Source organism: Homo sapiens, chromosome 3, assembly GCF_000001405.40.
Source record: "Homo sapiens chromosome 3, GRCh38.p14 Primary Assembly".
In the NCBI taxonomy this organism is placed as follows: domain Eukaryota; kingdom Metazoa; phylum Chordata; class Mammalia; order Primates; family Hominidae; genus Homo; species Homo sapiens.
Window position 1 is genome coordinate 40,707,661 of NC_000003.12, and position 21,926 is coordinate 40,729,586.

Consider the following 21,926-nt stretch of genomic DNA (forward strand, 5'->3'; position numbering starts at 1 on the left):
TGCTTCTGTTCCTTTCTTCTGTTATTTTTTCATTACATGGATGTTACGTCCTTTGTAGTTGCCCCACAGTTCCTGAATATTCTGTGCTGGTTTTTCCCCTACTTTTTTTTTTTCTCTTTGCTCTTTGGTTTTGGAAGTTTCTATTATCATATCCTCAAACTGAAAGATTGTTTTCCTCAGCCATGTCCAGTCCACTAATGAGCCCATCAAATGCATATTTCATATTCGTTAGTTTTTTTGATCTCTAGAATTTCTTTTGATTCTTAGAATTTCCATCTCTTTGCCTATATTACCAATCTGTTATGGCATGTTGTCTACATTTGTATTATAGCCCTTAGCATATTAATCTTAATTTTAAAAAATTTCTGGTCTGATAAAGATAGCAACAATTGACACTGGGTACTACTAGAGGGGAAAGGGACAGAGGCAAGGGGGCAAAGGTTGAAAGACTAACTATTGGGTGCTATGCTTTGATATCATTCATACCCCAAACCTTGGCATCATACAATATACCCAGGTAACAAAAACCAGCATAGTACACCCAATTCTAAAATAAAAGTTGAAAATAAATCCTTGATCTGATCATTCCAATATTTCTGCTATATCTGACTCTGATGCTTGTTCAGTCTCTGCAAACTACGTTTTTACCTGTTAGTGTATCTTGTAATTTTTTGTTGAAAGGTGGGCACAATGTACTGTGTAAGAGGCACTTTGGTAACCCCTTAGTAACCCAGTGGTGAGGTATGGAGTTGGGGTGGGGGTGTCTTCTATAGTCCTGTGATTAGGTCTCAGTCCTTTATGGGCTTCTGCCCCTGGACTGTGAGCTTCATTACGCTTCTTTGATTTTTTCTCCACTTAGGAGGGACGGGATGGCTAGAGAAGGCTAGGGTAGGGTGTTTCCCTTCCCCCAGATGTGCTAGGCTCTGATGAAGCCCAAAGAGATTTGGCTCTGGTAAAAGAGAGTCTAATGTATTAGACTCAATTTCCTCCAGAGAGAATGCTTTGTTAAGAAGAACAGAATGCTGTGGTGTATTTTTAAATGATTTATTCCCCCCTCCTCGTGTTAGATGCAAAAGGGGATTTTTCTTCAATATTCCCTGTGAGGATCTGATGGAGTATCTGGAGGCAAAACTCACAAAAGTGTGAGGGTCACCCATATGAATGGGTCTTCTCAGAACTGTCCACACTCAGCCTCCAGAAATTTGTCAATTACAGCTTAGGTTTTCCTACCCCGGTACTGGTTTCTGCAAATGTTTCTATTCGTGCATTTCTGCTCCAGGAAGTTGTGATTCTCTCTATCTGCCTGTTTCTCCAGTTTTGGGGGCAGCAATTTGCTCTGTAACCTCACTTCCCTGACAGATATAAGAGTTGTTGATTTTTCAGTTTGTTCAGCTTTTTACATGCTAGAATGGGGTGGAAACTTTTAAGCACCTTACGTGCTGGACTGGAAACCAGAAGTCTCCCTGAGTAGCTTTTTGAGCTCCTTGATAGATTATTTCTAAGCTATGTCTGAAACCCTCCTCCAGGCCCTTCACAGGGAAGCTTCCTGGGTGCTCAGTCCATTCCTCCCTAGCTCTTCATTGTTTGGCCTTAAAACTCAGAGTGGTGAGAGGTTTTGTTTAACCTTTGTCTGATGTTTCCCTGATTATTTTCTCTGAGACTGCATTCATGCCAGAAACTGCGTATCTGATGGGTGAAGACTCACTGCAGTTGGAAGAGCCCTTTTGAACAGCAGTGATCGTTACTTTTGAATCTCATTGCCAAGAGAAAATCTTTGAGACAGTGTGGGGACTGGCACAAAGGCCTGGGAGTCCAGGCTAGATGGGGTGGTTGTGAGCTGGAGGACCAAAGGTCTTCTGAGATCTTTGGACAACTGAGACTGAACCCACCAAATTCCCAGCTGCTTCTTCAACCACTGTCGTTTTAGGTGTTGAATTTCAGTCAGTGTCAGAGACTATACCGCCTTCTGGGTTTCCAGAGAAAGATAATCCACAGCCCTAATCTGAGATGGATAAGATCATGAAATATAGGAGAAAACTGAAAAAAATGAATCAACCTTTTTATGAAAAGAAATTAGATTATGTGTCCCGTCAGCTCTTCATGGCCAAGTTCTCCAAGCTGACCTTTGAATGTTCCCATTTGCTTCTATGCATTGATGCTGAAAGGCTAGAGTGAAAGGCTAGCATCCGTCTCACTCCTTTTATTAGACAAGCTGCAAACATTTATAATGCATGGATAACATGACATTCTACATTCAATTAACAGAGAGTTGTGGATTTTTTCGTGTTATTCACTTTTAAAGTGATAAACATATTTTGTATGTTTTCTTCACTGAAAAACGGAAAGAAAAGTTTTTCGTACTGTATCCTCAATTGGTATTTCAGTTTGTAATCCTCAGATGAAGACAGCATGGAGTTTTAGACCTCCATTTGCTTGATGTTCCATGGGTGAAGATTCTGTTCCCTGAGGATGGGTGAGGTTCTATCATCAGATCAGAGGCTTAGAACCACTTTCCACAAAGGCCCTAACCCAGAGGAAAGGCTTGACTCAGACGTCTGTGACAGGAAGATAGCATGAATGTTGTTCTCTTGCAGGGATCCTGACCTCCCATAACAATTCAGTTCTTGACCACTGAATCCCTGTGTTTGGGATGATATATTTTTTTTTCCTATTTCCTGTCTTAATTATGTCTCTTTGAACTAAAATAATTAATTTAGAAAAGTGGGAAGAGGAACAGGAAAACAAAAGTGACCTCAGTTGGGGCTGGGCTTGGCTCCCTTACCTGATTGATGGGTCCTTTAATCTGAATACTGGTAGCAACTGGCTCCTCCATAGAAAGAAAGATAAAGGGAGGAGTCCAAACCCCTGAAGAAGTTCCATGATGGAATTGATGCCTCATGGCTCCGTCAAGGAGATGGTTGTCCCTCATCTGAAGGCTGAAGCTAACTGCTGCCTTAGGCAATGGACACTGAGATGTCTTTTGTGTTCTAAAGGGTTCCAAGGTCACATCAGAGAGCAATGGAGTAGTCATAAAGGGTTCCCAAGGGCAGGGCAGGGGAATCCACAGCCCTACCCCTACCATCCACCCTCCTAAGACTCTAGATTCCTCTCCCCTTCTCTGGGCCTTCCTATTTGCCAGCCCTGTCCTCTCCTCACATCACATCTATACCTCAGTGTAATTCTATGTATTTTCCCTACAACCCAGACAACCTAGAAAGCCCTTTACCCTTGGAGATCTGGCTTGGACCCCACCAATTCCACAGTCTTTGACAGTCTGGAGTTTTCCTAGGAATTTTACTAATTCCTAGGCAGTTTTAAAAATGAAGAGGCGTGATACAGATAAAGTGCACATATCTTTAACACACTTTTTTTATTTGCCTCTCGTAGATTTTCATTTTTTTAGTTTTAATTTTTTTTTTTTTTTTTTTTGAGACGGAGTCTCGCTCTGTCACCCAGGCTGGAGTGCAGTGGCACGATCTCGGCTCACTGCAAGCTCTGCCTCCCAGGTTCACACCATTCTCCTGCCTCAGCCTCCCAAGTAGCTAGGACTACAGGTGCCCGCCACCACGCTTGGCTAATTTTTTTGTATTTTTAGTGGAGACAGGGTTTTACCATGTTAGCCAGGATGGTCTCGATCTCTTTTGTTGTTTTTATTTTTACAAATTTATAGGGTACATGAGAAATTTTTTTACTTGTATACACTATGTAGTGATTAAGTCAGGATATTTAGGGTGTCCATTACCTGAGTATAATACATTTTTGTTAAGTGTATTCACTCTACTGTGCTATTAAACATTGAATTTATTCCTTCTATCTTACTGTATGTTTGTACCCTTTCGCCCACTTCTCTTCATCCTCCCCCTTTCCTCTACCCCTACTCACCCTTCCCAGTCTCTGTTATCTATCTTTCCACTCTGTACCTGCATGTGGCCAAATGTTTAGCTCTCACGTATAAGTGAGAACATTCAGCATACAACTTGATGAATTTTCACAAGTGGAATACACCTGTGAGACTAGCACCCAGATCAGGAAACAGTGTATTCCCAGCACCTTGCATGCCTCCCTGGTCTCTACCCCCACACTCTCCCCACATACACTCCAAGGGTCACAATGTGGCCATCCTCTAATGGCAGGGATTATTGTTGCCAAGTAAAGTTTGTAGCCCTTCATGTGTATTAACTCACTGAATCCTCACCATGACCCAGAGATGGTTCCGTAACTGACCTATTTTACAGGGAAGGAAAGTGAGGAACACATGGGGTGAGCTGCCGCCGAGACCCCACTGCTAGTAATTAGCAAGCTGTGGTTCAATGCAGCCATCTGGCTGCCCCAGTGGTTCACAGTCTTGAACCACTAAACTGCTGCAAAAATATCATGGTGGCTGGAGAAACAGTGTGAGTCAAACAAAACTAGATTATGTGGTGGCTCATGCCTGTAATCCCAGCATGTTTGGAGGCTGAGGCAGGTGGCTGAGCCCAGGAGTTTGAGACCAGCCTGGACAACATGGTGAAACCTTGTTTCTACAAAAAATACAAAAATTAGTCAGGTGTGGTGGTGCACACCTGTAGTTCCAGCTACTCAGGAGGCTGAGTTGGGAGGATCGTTTGAGCCTGGGAGGTAGAGGCTGCAGTGGGCCATGATTGTGCTGCTGCACTCCAGCCTGGGTGAAACAGTGAGACCCTGTCTCAAAACAAAAACCAAAAAATAAATAAAACCAGATTCTGGGAGAAGGGCCACTCATTTCCACATGGCTCTTTGCAGGTGGCTTTGCTTGTGCTTGTGCTGTTTTCATCTTCCCACTTGCTGCTCAGGACCTGTTGAGGGAACTTAGGGATGGGGGTTGATGCCGGGGCAGTGACTGGCCCAAGGGCTACACCTGGAAGCGTGGGATCAGGTTTGAGCCCAAACCCAACCAAGGGACATGTTAGTCCTCTCATTTCACAGGGAGAAACTGAGGCGAGGAGGGATTGAATGGGCTACATTGCTCCTCTCTCAGTGGGCCTGGGAAGCACATGGCTTTGCTTATAGCTGAGACTAATTTGTCATAAGTCATCAATCACACCTGTGTCTGAATTGAATGTTCAGAGGCCACTGACCCCTCAGAGTCCTTGGTGGAGCATGGGACCTCAGCTGCACTTGTGCTGGAGACAGGAGGTTTGCCTGGGAGCCTGGCAGATGGATCCAGGAGGAAGAAGGAGAGTAAAAAGCTGCATCTATATACTCCTTTGCAAAGTAAAATGAAATAAAAAGGAATGCTTTTGAATGCTTCTCAGTGCTGAGTGTTTTCCGTGATCTTGCACGTGGACAGTGGGAGGAACCTAGATAGATTCGGTGAGAGAGAGCGGCACTGGGTGTGCCCACAGACCCAACCGTGGGTCCTGTCTCAGTGCTCACTGCTTAGTGCTGTGTGACCCTGGCCACAGCATTTCCTCTCTGACCCTCAGAGGACTCCTCACATCACCTCCAGAGGCCTGGGGAGAGAGCACTTGGTGAACCTGCCCCGGGGGGAGTGGGCTTATAACAAGGGAGTGCCAAGTCTGAGTCCAGAAAGCAGAGCTGCCCTTGGTGGGATTTTCTGACATTTCTTGGTAGCAGCAGAAAACATTCCCCCAAAGCCTCCCTACATGGTCAGGGTCCCCACAGTCCTTTACTAAGATGGTCTCTCCATGCAGCCTCCCTCATACCCCCTGAGGTTTCCATTCCTTTCTGGAACTCTCTTCCCTGAGGGCTAAGGACAGGGAGTGACAGGTGAGTGCCCTGCCTGCTGGTCCACACTCTCAGACAAGTGTGGGATGTTATATAACCACATTGGCAGACAGAGTTCAGACCTTGAAACAGCTTGGCTCATGAGACCTGAAACACTTCCTGAAGTTCTTGGCACTCTCAGTGTACACTCTAGCTCTGCACTGTCCAACAGGGCAGCCAGAAGCCACATGTCACTATTTAAACTTAAGTCAAATGAAGTCAAGTACAATAAAAAGCTCAGTGTCACTAACCTGTGTGACCTTGTCTCCTATCCTTCTAACCATCTTCTCCACCCTGGGCCCTTTTCCTCCTCGCATCCCTCACTCTGGGTTCCTTTCTATGCATAATCACACCAAGCACCTCCGCCTCCAGGGCCTTGGCACTTGCTCTTCATCCCCCTGGAAAGCTCTTGCTCCAGTTCGCCAACTGGCCATTTCATCCTCATTACTTAAGTTCCCAGGGAAGCATCCCTTCGTTAGCGAGGCCTCCCCATGCCCTGAGCTGATGACCTTCTCCCAGCCACTTTCTGCCCAGCCTGTCACCTCCATTTGTATACTCCCCAGGACCTGGCACCAACTTATTTGCTTAGGTATTTAACGCCTGTGGCTCCCCACCAGAACATAAACCACTTAAAGGCAGAGGCATGGTTTCCTCTCACCACCGAGGTCCATTTCCTGAGACAGCACCTGGGACAGGCTTGTCATTCTATAAATGTCTGTTGACTGTCTCCAATTTCCCCCACTTCCACATTTGTGCTTCATGCTCACGATGCTTGCCTCTGTGTACTAGTATTTAACATTTTTCTCTAAATCGACCTACATTCTAACTTGAGTACTTACTTTAGCCTTACCCTAACAAGTGAAGTTGTGTGATTTATGTGCTAATATTTCCAAATGTGCATCAAAATAAATATACTATTATTTTCCTTTTTTTTTTTTCAGTGTGCTACCTAAAAAAATCATCATGCTCATCTCAAGTGGACACACTTTTTTGGAAACATTGCTATACCCCAGCCGGCTCTTCTACTGCTGTTCCTCATGTTGCCAACTCACGGCATGACCACGGCTCCCCAGCCTCTCTTCCCCGATCTCACACTGTGGGTTTACAGAGCTAGAGTTCCAAGATCCTGAGATTTCAAACACATAATTGGGAACAGTGGTACTGAGGCACCTGAGTGAATAGCTTGGCTCTTTTCCTGTGGAACACATGACTTTTTAGCAATTTGCCCTCTGTTGTGGCTATACGACTCTTTGAAAGGGCCTAACCAACAGGCACAGCCCAAACCAACTCACTCACAACCACTGCCCATTTGCCAGTGACCTGTCAGGTGGGCCAGGAACATCACTGATCACAGGCATTTTCTTCTAAATTGAGCAGCGAGCCTCAGATCCTCCTCCACAGGCTGTGGCAGAAACACGAGTTCTGGCCGACCTGATTTCTCAGACACCACTTCCAGCTTTAACTGAGTCAGATGAGGGAAAAAGGGGGAGGTGAAAAAAAAATTACCAGCCCCAGGCACCCTATCTCCACCTTCAGGTCTCCTGGGGAATCCGTCAGGGTTTCCCAGGCTCAGGTAGACCAGTTTGAGCATGTTTTAAGTCATACGTTCGGGATCACCAGCAGCTTCGACGCCTCCACAAACAGGCAGCATCACAATTTGGCTTGTTTTATTTTGCTTTTTCTCAGCGGCATCTCCTTGTTTTGTTTTTACTTCCTCATTCTAGATATGAAGCATGATTCATCACTCTAAGCCCCTTCTTCTTCTTACTCCCTGAGTTTCCATGTCCTCTTGGGAATTCCTCCCTCCCTTTCTTCCCTTTCCACTCACGACCAGCCTCCCCACACACTCCTTTCTCTCCACCTAGGAGACAACTTATTAGGGGAACTTAGGAAGCTCCTGCCTTGTTTCTCATGGTTACATCATCTGAAAGTCTTTTATTCCTTCAAGCTCACCTTATGGTCCCCCTCACTTCTAGGCTTTCTCATGTGGGATTCCCTGATCCTGGGTCATCCTTTCCCATCACTTTGTGTGGTTCACTCTCTTAATCATCCTTCAAGTCTCCTCTGAAATGACACTTCCTCCTGAAGCCTTCCGAGGCCCTGCCCACCACAGATTAAATGCATCTCCTATCTGCTTTCATTGCATCTTGTACTTTCTCTGTCAAAATCACAACACTACCTTGGCACCCTGTGCCAAGGATGGTGCTAGGGAGCCTCATCCTCCTTATAGTCATGTAGCCTACCCACTAGATAATTATAGAGTCCAAATAAGAAGAGTGCTTTTGCTACACAACACATCACCACCACTTTAGAGAAGTCCCACAGCTCCTGCTGCAGTAAGCCCTGTAGCTGTCAGCCCTGCAAGGAGAAGCTGTGTCTGTCTTGCTCATCCCTGAATCCCCAGTGCTCAGCATAGGGCCAGAATGTGGTAAATCTTCAATAAATATTTATTGACTCAGTGACTAGATGAATTAATTTCCTTAGAGTAACTGATGCTGGCTAGAATTTTGAGGATCTACTGAATATCAGAGAGACAACAAAAGGGAAAGAATGAATGTACCAGAAGCCCCCACATGGTTTTAAGTAGAGCAGCTTCTAACACAACCAGTTCACTCCCAAGGTCAAGGTTTCCATGGTCTGCTCCACATTTCCTTGCTCACTGAGATATCATGGAGGGAGGGATTTGGGGATGGAAGTAGGGGGCAGGGGAGGGAAAAGAGAAAGAAGGGAAGAATGACAGAGGGGCACTCCCACACCACTACCCCTCCAGGGTCTACCTGTCCCTTCTATTTACCATCATTGGAAGACTGAGATGAAAATAGTGTGATGGTTTTAGAAAGCTTCTTTCTTGATATCTGCCCCAGATACTTTCAAGCAAAGACCTGTTTCAGAAGAGCAGGTCCAGTGGAAGAATAATGTAATGGAAATGTATAATGTAGTTTAAAAGAGAGAAAATTTGAAAATAGCATCATAAAAGCAAGATTTCTTCCTCTTTCCAAACACATTTTAGAAAATCTAAATAACAGAAATGAAAAAATATATATCATATATGGAATATAACTAAATTGGTATACAGAGGAAACTTCTTCCCTTAAATATGTGTTTCAATAAAAAAGGAGAGCATTAAAATAAATGAATTAAGCATCTAACTCAGTAAGTTAGAAAAATAGCAACAAAATAAACCTAAGAAAAGTAGAAGGAATGAATACCATGAAAGGAGAAATAATGAATTACAAAACAGAATAATAAAACAAATTACATACCCAGGTTTGGATTCTTTGGCAAAACCATGAACCAGATAAAGCATTTGCTATCTTAATCCAGAAAAATGTGGAAGAGTACAAAAGCACAAAATTTAAAAAAATGTTAAAGTGAAAATAAAACAGATATAGAGGAAATTAAAAGAATCACAAGGGATTACTTTGCTCAACTCTATGTAAATATATCTGAACACTTAGATGAAATGGATAATGTTCTAGGAAAACATACTTTACAAAAATTGACTTAAGAAAAGTTAGAGAATTTTAATAAGCCAAGTACTACAAAGAAATGGAGAAGTTGTCAAAGAGTTGCCCTTCAAAAAGCACCAGGCCCACATGATTTCAAGAGAAATTATTCCAAACCTTTTAAGAAGAAATTATTTCAGTGTTATTTAAACTGTTTCAAGGCATTTAAAAAAGGAGAAAAACTTCCAAATGCTTTTCATGAAGCAAGCATAATATTCATATCAATCCCCACAAAGTTGCACAAAAAAGAAAGTCATGGTTCAATCTCACTTATACTGAAACAAAAAACCCTAAATACAACAAATTCAAGAGCACATTAGTAGAAAATATATCTTAACCTAGTTGAGTTTAGTCCAACAATATACTAACAATTTAATAACAACAACTTATGAAGGTTTAATAATAGAACATCTTTTTTGTTGTTGTTTTAAAAAAAACAAGAAGTTACAAAAAAGTGGCAACTTCATTAAATTTTCTAACATATTTTATTGTGTAGTAGTTTTATTTGAGATACGTACTAGGGTGACATCTTAACAGTCTCAGTGTTTAAGGCCTCTAAACATCTTGACCAGGTCTTGATTGCTGCAAGAAGTTGGGTAGCACTGCAGACTGGCTCTGTTGTATGGGAATCCTGGAGTCTGCTGATTGACACACTTTTAACACAAGTGGACCTGGAGGCTGAGTATGAGAGAGAGAAAGGCAGCTGGCTAAGGTCCCCAGTGTTAATACAGACCCCGCCCTAACAGGGGATAGACAGCCACAGCATTCCCCTACCCAGCTGAGGTCTGTAGTACTCTTGGGGTTTGGACTTGTCAAGGAGCTCAAAGAAAAATCCTCTGGCTCTTGTGGTGGGGAGGTTGGAAAAGGGGAATCCTGCAGGGACTGGCATTTGCACTGTAGCCAAGGTGGCAGCTAATTTCTTTTTCTTTTCTTTCTTTTTTTAAAATAGCAAATCCACCTTAGTCAAGGCACTCACTAACCATTGCTCCCTGGAGGCTGGAAGACAGAGCTAATTTTTAGGACATTTAAAATCATAACATTTTTAGATGCAGTCAAAGAGTGAAATCGACCTTGAGGTTGAGGGGAGAAGTTTAACATTATTGGGGATGAGCATGGAAGTGAATCATGCTAGCCACCATGGTTCAGTGATGGCCTAGAAGAGAATCAATGAGAGCTGCACAATTTGGAATGTTTTCAGCCTGACATACTTACTGGTGTATGTGATAGAGATTAGTGTACATTGACAGAGAGACAGAGACAAAAAAAGGGGTGGGGAGGAGATGGGGAGGGCAAAGGGGAGAGGGAGAAACAGGGTGGGGAGAGAGGGAGAAAGACTCATTTTATCTTTTAAGTAAAGCGTAATTATGGATCAATATTCCATACTGAACCTGCTGGTACTGGTTTCTGGTTTGCAGCAATAGCTGCCATGTACTGAGATTGCTTCCTTGGAGGAATGCAGGAAGCTGCCTCACACCATGCCAGGTTGACTGGGCTTGTTCCTGGGCACCCTCTTGCTAGGCCACATGTGCTAAGTCATTACTCACAAAAGGGCTGGACTGAGAGAACATAGGCAGACTTTTTTTTTTGGTATACATTATATCACAGAACCTTGGACAACTGGACCCTGTCCTTAATTAGATCTTCAACACATCCACCCATATGCTAGTGCTTTGAGGACAAGCTTCTACCTATAAGCAATGGATTCATTAAGCTAAGAAAAGATAGAAAGTGAGGTCTGGGAGAGCCTGTTTTTTGGAAAGTCTCTGCTTTCATGTCAGCTATGTGGGAATCCAGCTCTGAGACACAGCACTGAAAGCCAGAGAAGCAGAGGAAAGCTTGCGCTTACTGGCCCTAACCTCTCCCCTAGCCTAGAATCCTCCCTGCCACATCTCTGAGGGTTGGTAGCCAGCTTCTCTTTAATCTATTTGAGGGACAGGGAGCTTACAGCAAAACTAAGCCTTTTTTTTCTTAAATAAGAGAGCCTCTCTTGGTGCAACTTGGCCTACTTCCTCATTTTACAAACCTGTCAGTTTCATAATTGAAAAATGACATCTCATCATTGTTTTGTTTTCTGTATCTTTGATACAGAAAAGTTGAATGTATTTTTTCATATGCTTATATTGGTCATTTATATTCATCCTTCTGTGATTTAACACTACATTTCCTTTGCTCATGTTTTTCCTATTGGTGTGATGTTTTCAAGATTAATTTAAAAGAGTTTAACATGACTTAAATTATAACCTTTGTTTGTTACATTTATTTTCATATTTCTTTCCTGGTTTATAATTTTCCTTTTGTTATTGTTTTGTTATGTGTGAGAGAAAAAGAGAGCTGGTTAAGGTCCTTGGTGTCTATACAGACCCTGCCTCCAACAAGGGATAGATAAACAATAAAATATGTTACAAAACTTAGAGTAGATATTTTAAATTTTATGTAGTTAAACCTTTCTACATGAGATCTTTTGTTATATTTATTCACAGAAACTCCTTCTCATCCTGAAATAACTTAAATATCATTTTTTAACATTTAGATGTTTATGTCCTTTTAAAAATATTTAGTGTATATTTCACACATCTTAATTTTTATTTATTGTGAAGTCTAGATTAGATATAACTTTTTATCGCCTTCAAAAACAGCCATTTTCCTCAACACCATTTGTTCAGTAAACCATCTCCTCCCCTTAGTTTGTGATACATATGTTAGAGTAGGTAGCGAAGCAGACATGAGCAGGGCAGGAGAGGGCCTCCCCACTATCCAAAGAATGTCAGGCAACCGTCAGGTGATGGTCAGGTAGTTGTTAAACTAGCTCTCTAAAATAATAATTGGCCACAGCTGGCGCCAGGGAACGGCGGTCTCCCAATAGATAGAAAACACCTGAAACTGGTGATAAGCAGCTTCCCAGTAAGATTTCAGGAGCTGGGCAAGTGGGCTCAAGCATGCGCACTAAGAGGCAAAATGGCGGAGTTTAACTGGTGTATGACCTTCTTCTGGAAACGCTAAGCTGGTAAGGGAAAAAAACACCTCAAATGGGCATGCACTCAACTTTAGTAAACATACTGCACATGCGGCTCATCCCAAGTGCTGTCAGGCCACTGTGCATGTGGCCAGCCCACCCCCAGGGAAGAATCAGGGGAGAAGAAACGCAAACCCTGGAATCATGCCAATGATTCCCCAAATCGAGGGCTAGATGGAGCTCTTGGATCTCTCAGGTCAACCACTTGGCTCTCTTCCAAATGTACCTGACTTTCTTTCATTCCTGCTCTAAAACTTTTAATACACTTTCAGTCCTACTCTAAAACTTGCCTCAGTCTCTCACTCTGCCTTATGCCCCTCAGACAAATTCTCTGGAGGCAAGAATTGACTTGGTGCGCACCTGTATGAATCCACCCCTCTTAACATATATGATAGGCAAAATTCCCAAAGTCACTAAGGCCCGGTTTTCTGAAACAGCTTTAATCGTTATGCATTTCTTTCTGGTGTTGAATGGAAATCTGTCACCTTTTACCTTTTACTTCTTGAAGCTTCTGCTCCTGTGGCTCCAAAATATGAGGACCCTCATGACATTATTCTGTGAATGTGTGTAGGGGGCTCTGTGGACAGATGTGTCGCCAACAAGGCACCTTACTACAGATTGCACTTTGCTCTGTTTTCTTTAGTGAGAGGACGTTATCTTCTATGTCACATGTCACAGTTTCTAGCTTCATTAGAAACCACTTTGATGCCCCTGGGGGTAGCTTTCCCCAAAGGCTATGTGTAGGGAAAGTAGCCTCAGTTGTTAAGGGAGAAGCATGTTTTCAAGATGTATTACATTTTAAAGGTCTGAAAATAAGGCAGCCTTACCTATGGGCAGCCAGAGAGGTGGCGGAGATGGAGAAGTGGAGACAGTGGTTCGCAGTCTGCATGAGGGCCTGGAACCAGACCTGCCTGGGCACTAATGGGGCCAGCTTGTGGCCTGTTTCCACCCTGGGGAAGAGACTGGAGGTGTGCGTGTGGACTAAAAGAGAGTTACTACCTTGGTGCCCAAGCTTGCAAGCCTCTATACTTGCATAGGGATCATCCCTGTGGATGAGCACCCATGGGATAGTGTGGGTCTAAGCTCTAACAGCCATAGTCTGTTGCAGTGAGAAACAGTGGTTGCCATGGGATACCCAGACTCCAGTTCCCTCTCTGCAGCATCAGGGAAGGCTGACTGTTTTGTGACTGGGATTCCCGTTTGCATCAGGGAAGGCTGACTCCTTTGTAACTGAGTAACCCCCCTGGGAATCCAGTGTGGGCATCTGCGAAGCCTCAAGGGGAATATACTGAATTAAATGTTAATAATGTTTGTGTCTACTTAAGTAATTAATCAGAAAAAGTAAAGATTTGACATGCATTTGTGGAGCAGTTCAAACCAGTTAAACCTATCAAAACGGGTCAAATCAGATCAAACAGTTTAAACCACACAGCTATGGTTATTCCTCTCAAATCTTGTGGTCTCCAGACTCAATATTCTGATTTGTGTTATAATAAAGTCATTCTTAAAATGGCTTAACTTTCAGCACTGTTATCACCTTATCTAATTCATCTCCAGTTTGCCAATATTGCCATTAAACCACAGCATCTAGAATTTACCAGACAATCCAGTGAAGCCAGCAGATTGGTAACCACTCTTTGTCTGTATGCAGTATGGGTTAGATGTTTTCTATTTGTCTCTTCAGATCCACTTTCCACACTTCTCTACCCTAGCCTGGGCCTGGGTGGCTGGCTTGTGTGGACTGAATGGGCTGCATCAAGGGACTTCCTTGCTCTCTGGCTTCTGGTTGGGTTTGGCCGAGGGGCATCAGTAGAGACAGGAGGAGAGTGAGGTCCCGGTGCTTACTGCCCTGGCTTTCTTTTGCTTTGTCCCTCTACCCAAGGCCACAGCTCTTTTAGGCAGGTGTCTCTGATAACTCTTCTCTCCTGGTTTCCTTCCTTGGTCCTTGAGACATAGGGATGATAACAGCTTCCACTCTTATACCATATTTTGTGTTTTTCTTAGTTTTTCCTGCACTTTTATAAATAGTTCTCATTAAATGCTCCCTAATTACTCCATTTGACATTGTCATTTGTTTCCTAGGCATATGCATTTTGTGAAACATCAGGGTGTTTCTTATGCACATTATATTTGAGAACCATTGAGTGAACAGTGCTGAGGTGGCTAAATGGAATTCCCACCAGCTTTTTAAATTATATTATAGAAACAACGGTACATATGTTATGAGACTCCTCCTCTTGCTTCCCAGTGAGGAGGCAGAGCCATGTACATTATTGTTTGGCTGGATCTCTACACAGCCATCAGTGAATTGCTCTGAAATTGACCTTCTTATGGTAGAAGGTAGGTCCTGCCTGAAAACCAAAGGCTGGGCAAGAAGAAACTGGGACTTTGATAAGCCAGGGCTGGCGGAGTTTCAGGAATTAAGAGCTGAGCAGTCACGACAGAAGTGATTCACTTATATCCTTCTCTGCTGGAGCTTGTATAGGGATAGCAGTATCCCATTGAAGAGGCTGGTGCCAGGGTCCCAGGGGTGCTCACTGAGTGAGAAGGACCCTGCTACTGGGTGGACAGCCTAGGAGGGACATTGGACATCCTGCCTTTTCAAAAACTGTACTAGGGAAAGTTACCCTTGAGGTTGGGGGAAGGTGACACTTATTTATAGTTGCTTTCTCAGAACTTTGTTTTGTTAAATGCAAAATTCTTCTCAAGGTAAATGTACAGTAACCCATAATAACTGCTGCCTGAGTTGCAGTAAAGACCTATCCACGGGGCCCCCCATTCTCACTCTCTTTCCATTAGTTCATTCTCCCTGGAGCAGCCTGAGTGACATTTTATTTTATTTATTTATTTTTTTGAGACAGAGTCTCGCACTGTCGCCCAGGCTGGAGTGCAGTGGTGCAATCTCGGCTCACTGCAACCTTCGCCTCCCAGGTTCAAGCTATTCTTCTGCCTCAGCCTCCAGAGTAGCTGGGATTACAGGCACCCACCATCACGCCCAGCTAATTTTTTGTATTTTTAGTAGAGACGGGGTTTCACCATGTTGGCCAGGCTGGTCTCAAACTCCTGACCTTATGATTTGCCCGCCTTGGCCTCCCAAAGTGCTGGGATGAGTGACATTTTAAAGTACAAATTGGACTCCATCACCTCTCCCAGTAAAGATTAGGGCAGGTTTCTTAGTGCACTTAGGGAAGGGACACAGAAGAAACACACCCAAGTCCTGCTTCCTTTATGTGCTTGTTTATTTGTTGTTTCTTAAATTTCTGATTGGATGACTTTGTTAGACAAACAAAGTATAACAGCTGAGCTTACATGAACACAGTTTGTGTTGATGCATATAAAAGAATGACTGCTGAATTGCACAGCCCTGCCCCATCTGCAGGGAGGGAGCAGGACAGAACAGAGTATGTGTATTGGCATCTTAGGGCAGGGCTGTTCAACAGAAATAGAACACAATCCTTTCTAGTAATCACAGTAAAAACAACCAGGTAAAATAAATTTTAATTATTAACTTTAATAATATCAAATATATAATAATATAAAATACATTTGTTTTCAATAGAAAATATTTTTACTCTGCTCCAGATTTTCAGTGTGCACTTAAATTAATCAAAATTAAATAATATTAAAAATAGAGTTACACTACAGTAGTCACATTTTAAAGGCTCTGCAATCACATGGACTAGTGGCTACTATAGTGTAGTATGGTCATAAGGTTCTGCCACAGCAAATAATCACAGCCTTACCCAAGCTGCACAGGAGGCTACCCTTGTCTCTGCTGCTTTCTTATCTCCCTTCAGAACCTCTTTCCATTGCTTTCCTTTTCCCTGTGATCCTTGCAGCTCTTAAGAACTGTCAACCTTCTTAAAGTCCCCACTTCATCCATCCCTTCTCCCCAAACACCCCGTGGTGTTCCTCTAACATCTCTCTTAGAAGGTAAGAAGATAGATTAAAGGCATTTGCAAAGAGGTGGGAATGAGGCTTCAGACACAAATCTCCTATCCAAAATTAGCCTCTAATTGCTGAAAAGGGGTGGGAACCAATTGCAATGAATTCTACTACACAGCTTTTAATCTTGGGGTCTAATATTCAAGGACTTAGCTTGCAGACCATCAAGCCTCCCTGCCCTCTCCTAAGCCCCTCCCATACCCTTCCTCACCCTTGCAAGCCAAGACCTCTAAGCTCAGTCAACACAGCTCTTGTTCACAAATAATAAAATAGGTGCCATGTATATAGCATGGATAATGTCAGATTTGTATACTGATATCTGGAATCCCCAAGATGACCCAGCAAGGGAACCATTATACTCCTGTTCCCATGGACTCAGAGGGTGCAGCCAGGATGGAGATATGGGTCTCTCTGACCACAGCCATGGACTGCTTCACACCAGCCTGCCCCTGGGACCTCAGCTGTCTGGTAGGTGAGGAGAGAAATCTGAGCAGCAAAGTCATGTGAAAGAGCTGGTTCCAGGAGGGCTTCCAAAGGGCTGTAGATTCACTGAGTGTCCACGGCAAAGTGTGTGCAAACTTCTGAGGGCAGACACCTTGCCTCCTACCCACAGGGCTGTTGCACCCAAAGAGGACAGATTCACTGTTACCTGCATCTGGTGGAGATTATCTCCAAGATGGTTCAGTTATGTTCCCTACAATGGTTTGTTTTGTTATTGATAATATTCTTTTACTTAAAAAAATTGAGATAAAGAAAATATACCTCTTTCTATGTAACCATCACCCCAACCAAGGTATAGAACATTTCCTTTGCCCCAGAAAGTACTGTTTTGCTTCCTTGAAGATAGTGTTTCCCACAGGGATGAAAACTACTCTAACCTCATTACTATACATTAGTTATACCTTTTCTTGAACTTCATAAACATGGGATTATGTAGGATGCATTTTTTGATCTGACCTCTGCTTAATTGTTTGTGAGATTCTTCTGTGTTATTTTATTGGTAGTTTATTCTTCCATTAGAAAAATAATACCTAATTTTATTTTTTTGTCATGCCCTGTTGATGGGCTTTTGGGTAATTTCCAGTGTTTGTGTACTATGACCAAAGCAGCTATGTCTTTAGGGGGACATATGCATTCATTTCTTCAGGATACATACTTGGGAGTAAAATTGCTGGTCTGTAGGATAGGCATATGTTTAACTTTATTAGAAACCAGCAAGCATTTTTCCAAAGTGGCTGCACTGTGCCTTTAACAGCTTTTATAAGGTCCTGGTTCCTGGCCAGGCAGCTGGCAGGTCCACCTGGCAACCAGATTGTAGTAGCCTAATGGGGTTGTTTGTGCATCCTCAATCTGGATGCAGGTCAACAGAATCCAGCCTGAACCACCTTAAATAAAAAAGGGGGTATCACTGGCAAATGTAGTCCAGTGTGGGAAGGCCAAGATGTTTGGAGCCAGGAACCCTCTCTCCCCTTTCTGTCTCTCAGTTCTACTTCTCTCTACCTGCACTTGGACTTCTGCCAAGCTGGCCATTTCCATATGACTGAGATATGGCCTGAGGTCCCCTCTTTAAAGCTTTGCAAGCATTTGGAGTCCTCCAACCCAAAGATAAAAGATGGTGAAAATTAAAACTACCCCCAAGATGCCATTTTTAACTTGTTAGATTGGCAAAATTCCAGAGTTTGATAACACTTTTTATTGACATGGCTATGGGGAAATGGGCAGTTGCATACACTGCAAGTGAGAGTGAAAAATTGGTACAACCCCTAGAGACAGAAATTAGCCTGCATGTATCGAGAAAAGTAATCCTATTTCTAGCAATGTATCATACAAATATTCTCAAAATATTGTATGTTGTATATGCAAAACAATATACATACAAGGCTAGTTACTGCAGTGTTGTTTGAAATAGCAAAGACAGGAAATACCTAAATGTCCTTTGAAAGGGCACTGATTAAGTAACATAATACATATATTTAATGGAATACTCTGTAGCTGTACTATTTTTTTAAAATAAAGATACAGGTGAGGAAGTACTTCATCTACTGATGTAGAGAGATCTCTGCCAAGATACAATGTTAAGAGAAAATAAAATTCAGCAGCAGAAAATATGCACCTTATGCCACAATTTGTGTAACAAAAGATAGAAAACAAATTTGTACTTGTTTGTGTATGCACAAAGAAACCATGGAAGGATACCCTAGGAAGTACCTGGTTATGGGAGTAGAACTAGAGAAAGGGAGAGAACAAGACTTTTTACTGTATACTTTTTCTTTTTAGACATTATGATTTTTGAACTACGTAAATGTATTGCCTAGTTAAAATAATACTTTGAGTTTTAAGTTGTAAATTTTAGCCTTGATTGTCCAGCTTAATAATGTGCCTGTCTCTGCACCAATCACTACGTCTAGGGTGGGGTGCTATTTTTAGTACCTAGAAAAGGTTTGGAGGAACTTCTCTTCTCCCAGGAGAAGAGTACTGTTCTGAGAAGATGAAACTAAAAATGCTCATTATACCCAGGGGGCAGGGTCAGATGGATCCCAAAGTTGTGGTGTAAGGTTGCTTGTGAGGACTTTCGAGGCTTCGAGGACGGAGGTCTCTGGAGCCTCAGATAAGATCCTTCCACAGTGCCACTTAGCTAATCTACTAGATCCCTTCCCCTTACCTGTCCAGCCCCCTGGAATTAAAGGCACTGACGGAAGCTCCCTTTCCTGCTTGTATAGGGGAGCTCTAAGGGGAATTTGAAGGTACAGGAGTATCCTGCTGCTGCTGACATCCATATCTCCAAGCCCTTCTATTTTATTGATGTAACTAATTCCACCGTACCCCAACCACTCACACCTAGCCTTTTCTTCCAATCTTAGTTGGCTTTGGTCCTTGGTTTTATCCTTTATTTTTGCCTTTAGAACAGTCTTGCTGTATTCTTCAGAACAAGTATGTCATAAGCAAATTATAAGATGGGGATTTTTCTGCATGTGATTTATTAGGGCAGAGCTCTCAGGAGAAAGGGGGGAAAGAAAGTAGGATAAGGCCAGGAACAGAACTGAAAAGGATGAACTTGGCTTCAGCGTGATCTTTCTGGAAGCTTTGGAGTATCAATTGTACCACAGAGTCATTGTCACTTTGAGGCAAATGCACCTGCATTTTGTATTCCTGTGTTAATAAGTCATTGGTTGATGGCTTGTGAGGAGGGGACATGCCTAACCTCCTGTCAAGATGGCTGCTGTTCCATTGGCCAAGGGCAGTTTTCCAGAGAAGGGGCAGTGGCCAACACTCACAGCAGCTGGGGGACAGGCATACCTGCTTACATTGGAATCTGAGCAGGGTGCTCACAGTGTTCAGCATTAGTTTTGTTGGGTATCTTTAGGGGGCCACTTCTTTCTGAGCACTTTAAGATGAGATTTGCTTAATTGCTATTCTGTCCACTCCTTACTTACCTCTCTCACACACTGCTGCATTATTTTTTTAATTGGTTTTTTAAAATTTCTAAGTTTTTTATTTTTTATTTCAATAGCTTTTGGGGTACAAGTGGTTTTTTGTTACATGGATGAATTATATAGCAGTGACTTCAGAGACTTTAGTGCACACATCACCCCTGTAGTGTACATTGTACCAAACGTTTGGTTTTTAAAATCCCTAATCCCCCTCCCACCTTCCCTCTTCTGAGTCTCTTCTGAGTCTATTACATCACTCTGTATGCCTTTGCATACTCATAGCTTAGTTCCCACTTATAAGTGAGAACATAACAGTTTTTGATTTTCCACTCCTGTGTTACTCCTCTTAGAATAATGGCCTCCAGCTCCATTCAAGTGGCTGCAAAAGACATAGTTTTGTTCCTTTTTATGGCTGAGTAGTATTTCATAGTATATATATATGTTTTCTTTATCTGCTCATTAGTTGATGGGCATTTAGGTTGGTTCCACATCTTTGGAATTGTGAATTGTGCTGCTATAAACAGACATGTGCAAGTGTCTTTTTCTATAATGACTTCTTTTCCTTTGGGTAAATACCCAGTAGTGGGATTGCTGGATTGAATGGTAGATCTATTTTTAGCTCTTTAAGGACTCTCCATACTGTTTTCCATAGAGGTTGTACTAGTTTACATTCCCACCAGCAATGTATAAGTGTTTCCTTTTCTTCACATCCATGCCAACATCTATTGTTTTTTGACTTTTTAATTATGGCCATTCTAGCAGAAGCAAAGAGATATCTCATCATGGTTTTGATTTGCATTTACTTGGTGATTAGTGATATTGAGCACTATGTTGAATAGAAATGGTGAAAGTGGGCATCCTTGTCTTGTTCCACTTCTCAGGGGGAATGGTTTCAACTTTTCCCCATTCAGTATAATGTTGGCTGTGAGTTTGTCATAGATGGCTTTTATCACCTTGAGGTATGTCTTTTCTATGCCAATTTTGCTGAGGGTTTTTAATCATAAAGTGATGCTGGATTTTGTCAAATTCTTTTTCTGCATCTATTGAGATAATCATATGATTTCTGTTTTTAATTCTGTTTATATGTTGTACCACATTTATTGACTTGCATATGTAAAACCATCCCTGCATTCCTGGTACGAAACCCACTTGATTATCATGTGTTATCTTTCTAATATGCTGTTGGATTCAGTTGGCTAGTATTTTGTTGAGGATTTCTGCATCTATGTTCATCAGGGATATTGGTTTGTAGTTTTCTTTTTTTATTATGTCCTTTCCTGGTTTTGGTATTACTGGCTTCATAGAATAATTTAGGGAGGATTCCCTCCATATCTTTTGGAATAGTTTCAGTAAGATTGGTACCAATTCTTCTTTGAATGCCTGATAGAATTCACCTGTGAATCCATCCGGTCCTGGACTTTTTTTGTTGGCAATTTTAAAATTACTGTTTCAGTCTCGCTACTTGTTATTGGTATGTTCAGCATTTCTATTTCTTCCTGGTTTAATCTAGGAGAGTTGTATATTTCCAGAATTTATCCTTATACTCTAGATTGTATAGTTTGTGCACATAAAGTGCACAGTACTTTTCATAGTACCCTTAAATGGTCTTTTGTATGTCTGTGGTATTGACTGTAATACTTCCCATTTCATTTCTAATTGAGCTTATTTGGATCTTCTTTCTTCCTTTCTTGGTTAATCTCACTAAAGGCCTATCAATTTTGTTTATCTTTTCAAAGAACCAGCTTTTTGTTTCATTGATGTTTTGTATTTGTTGTTGTTGTTTCAATTTCATTTAATTCTGCTCTGATCTTGTTATTTCTTTTCTTCTGCTGGGTTTGGGTTTGGTTTGTTCTTGTTTCTCTAGTTCCTTGAGGTATGACCTTAGTCTATTTGTGCTCTTTCAGACTTTTTAAATCTAGGCATTTAAGGCTATGAACTTCCCTCTTAGCACTGCTTTAGCTGTGTCCCAGAGGATCTTGATTTCATTGTTGACCCAAACATCATTAAGGAGCAGATTATTTAATTTCCATGTATTTGCATGGTTTTGATGGTTCCTTTTGGAGTTAACTTCCAATTTTATTCTACTGTGGTCTGAGGGAGTACTTGATATAATTTCAGTTTTCTTAAATTTATTGAGACTTATTTTGTGGCCTATCATGTGTTCCATCTTGGAGAATGTTCCATGTGCTAATAAAAAGAATGTACATTCTGCATTGGTGGGTAATGTTCTGTAATTTCTGTTAAGTCCATTTGTTCTAGGGTACAGTTTAAGTTCATTGTTTCTTT

At 42.1% G+C, this 21,926-nt stretch overlaps 2 long non-coding RNA genes across 2 annotated transcripts in view, besides 1 other annotated feature; one reads left to right on the top strand and one right to left on the bottom strand.

The window, feature by feature from the left end:
• Positions 6,403-6,462: a silencer, noted in NCBI's record as "silent region_14234". NCBI's record gives its function as "represses an Ori minimal core promoter by ATAC-STARR-seq in GM12878 lymphoblastoid cells {active_cell/tissue: GM12878}" and the evidence as "EXISTENCE:reporter gene assay evidence [ECO:0000049][PMID:35858748]".
• Positions 9,718-13,341, bottom strand: LOC124909370 (uncharacterized). Its single transcript, XR_007095888.1, has 2 exons — positions 13,092-13,341; positions 9,718-9,929 (listed from the first exon to the last, which is right to left on the bottom strand). It is a non-coding gene; the product is annotated as an uncharacterized LOC124909370 (long non-coding RNA).
• Positions 12,199-21,926, top strand: part of LOC105377043 (uncharacterized) — a 191,504-nt gene continuing 181,776 nt past the window's right edge. The window contains exon 1 of the long non-coding RNA XR_007095886.1: positions 12,199-12,255. This is a non-coding gene — a long non-coding RNA (uncharacterized LOC105377043). The remainder of the gene's footprint in view (positions 12,256-21,926) is intronic.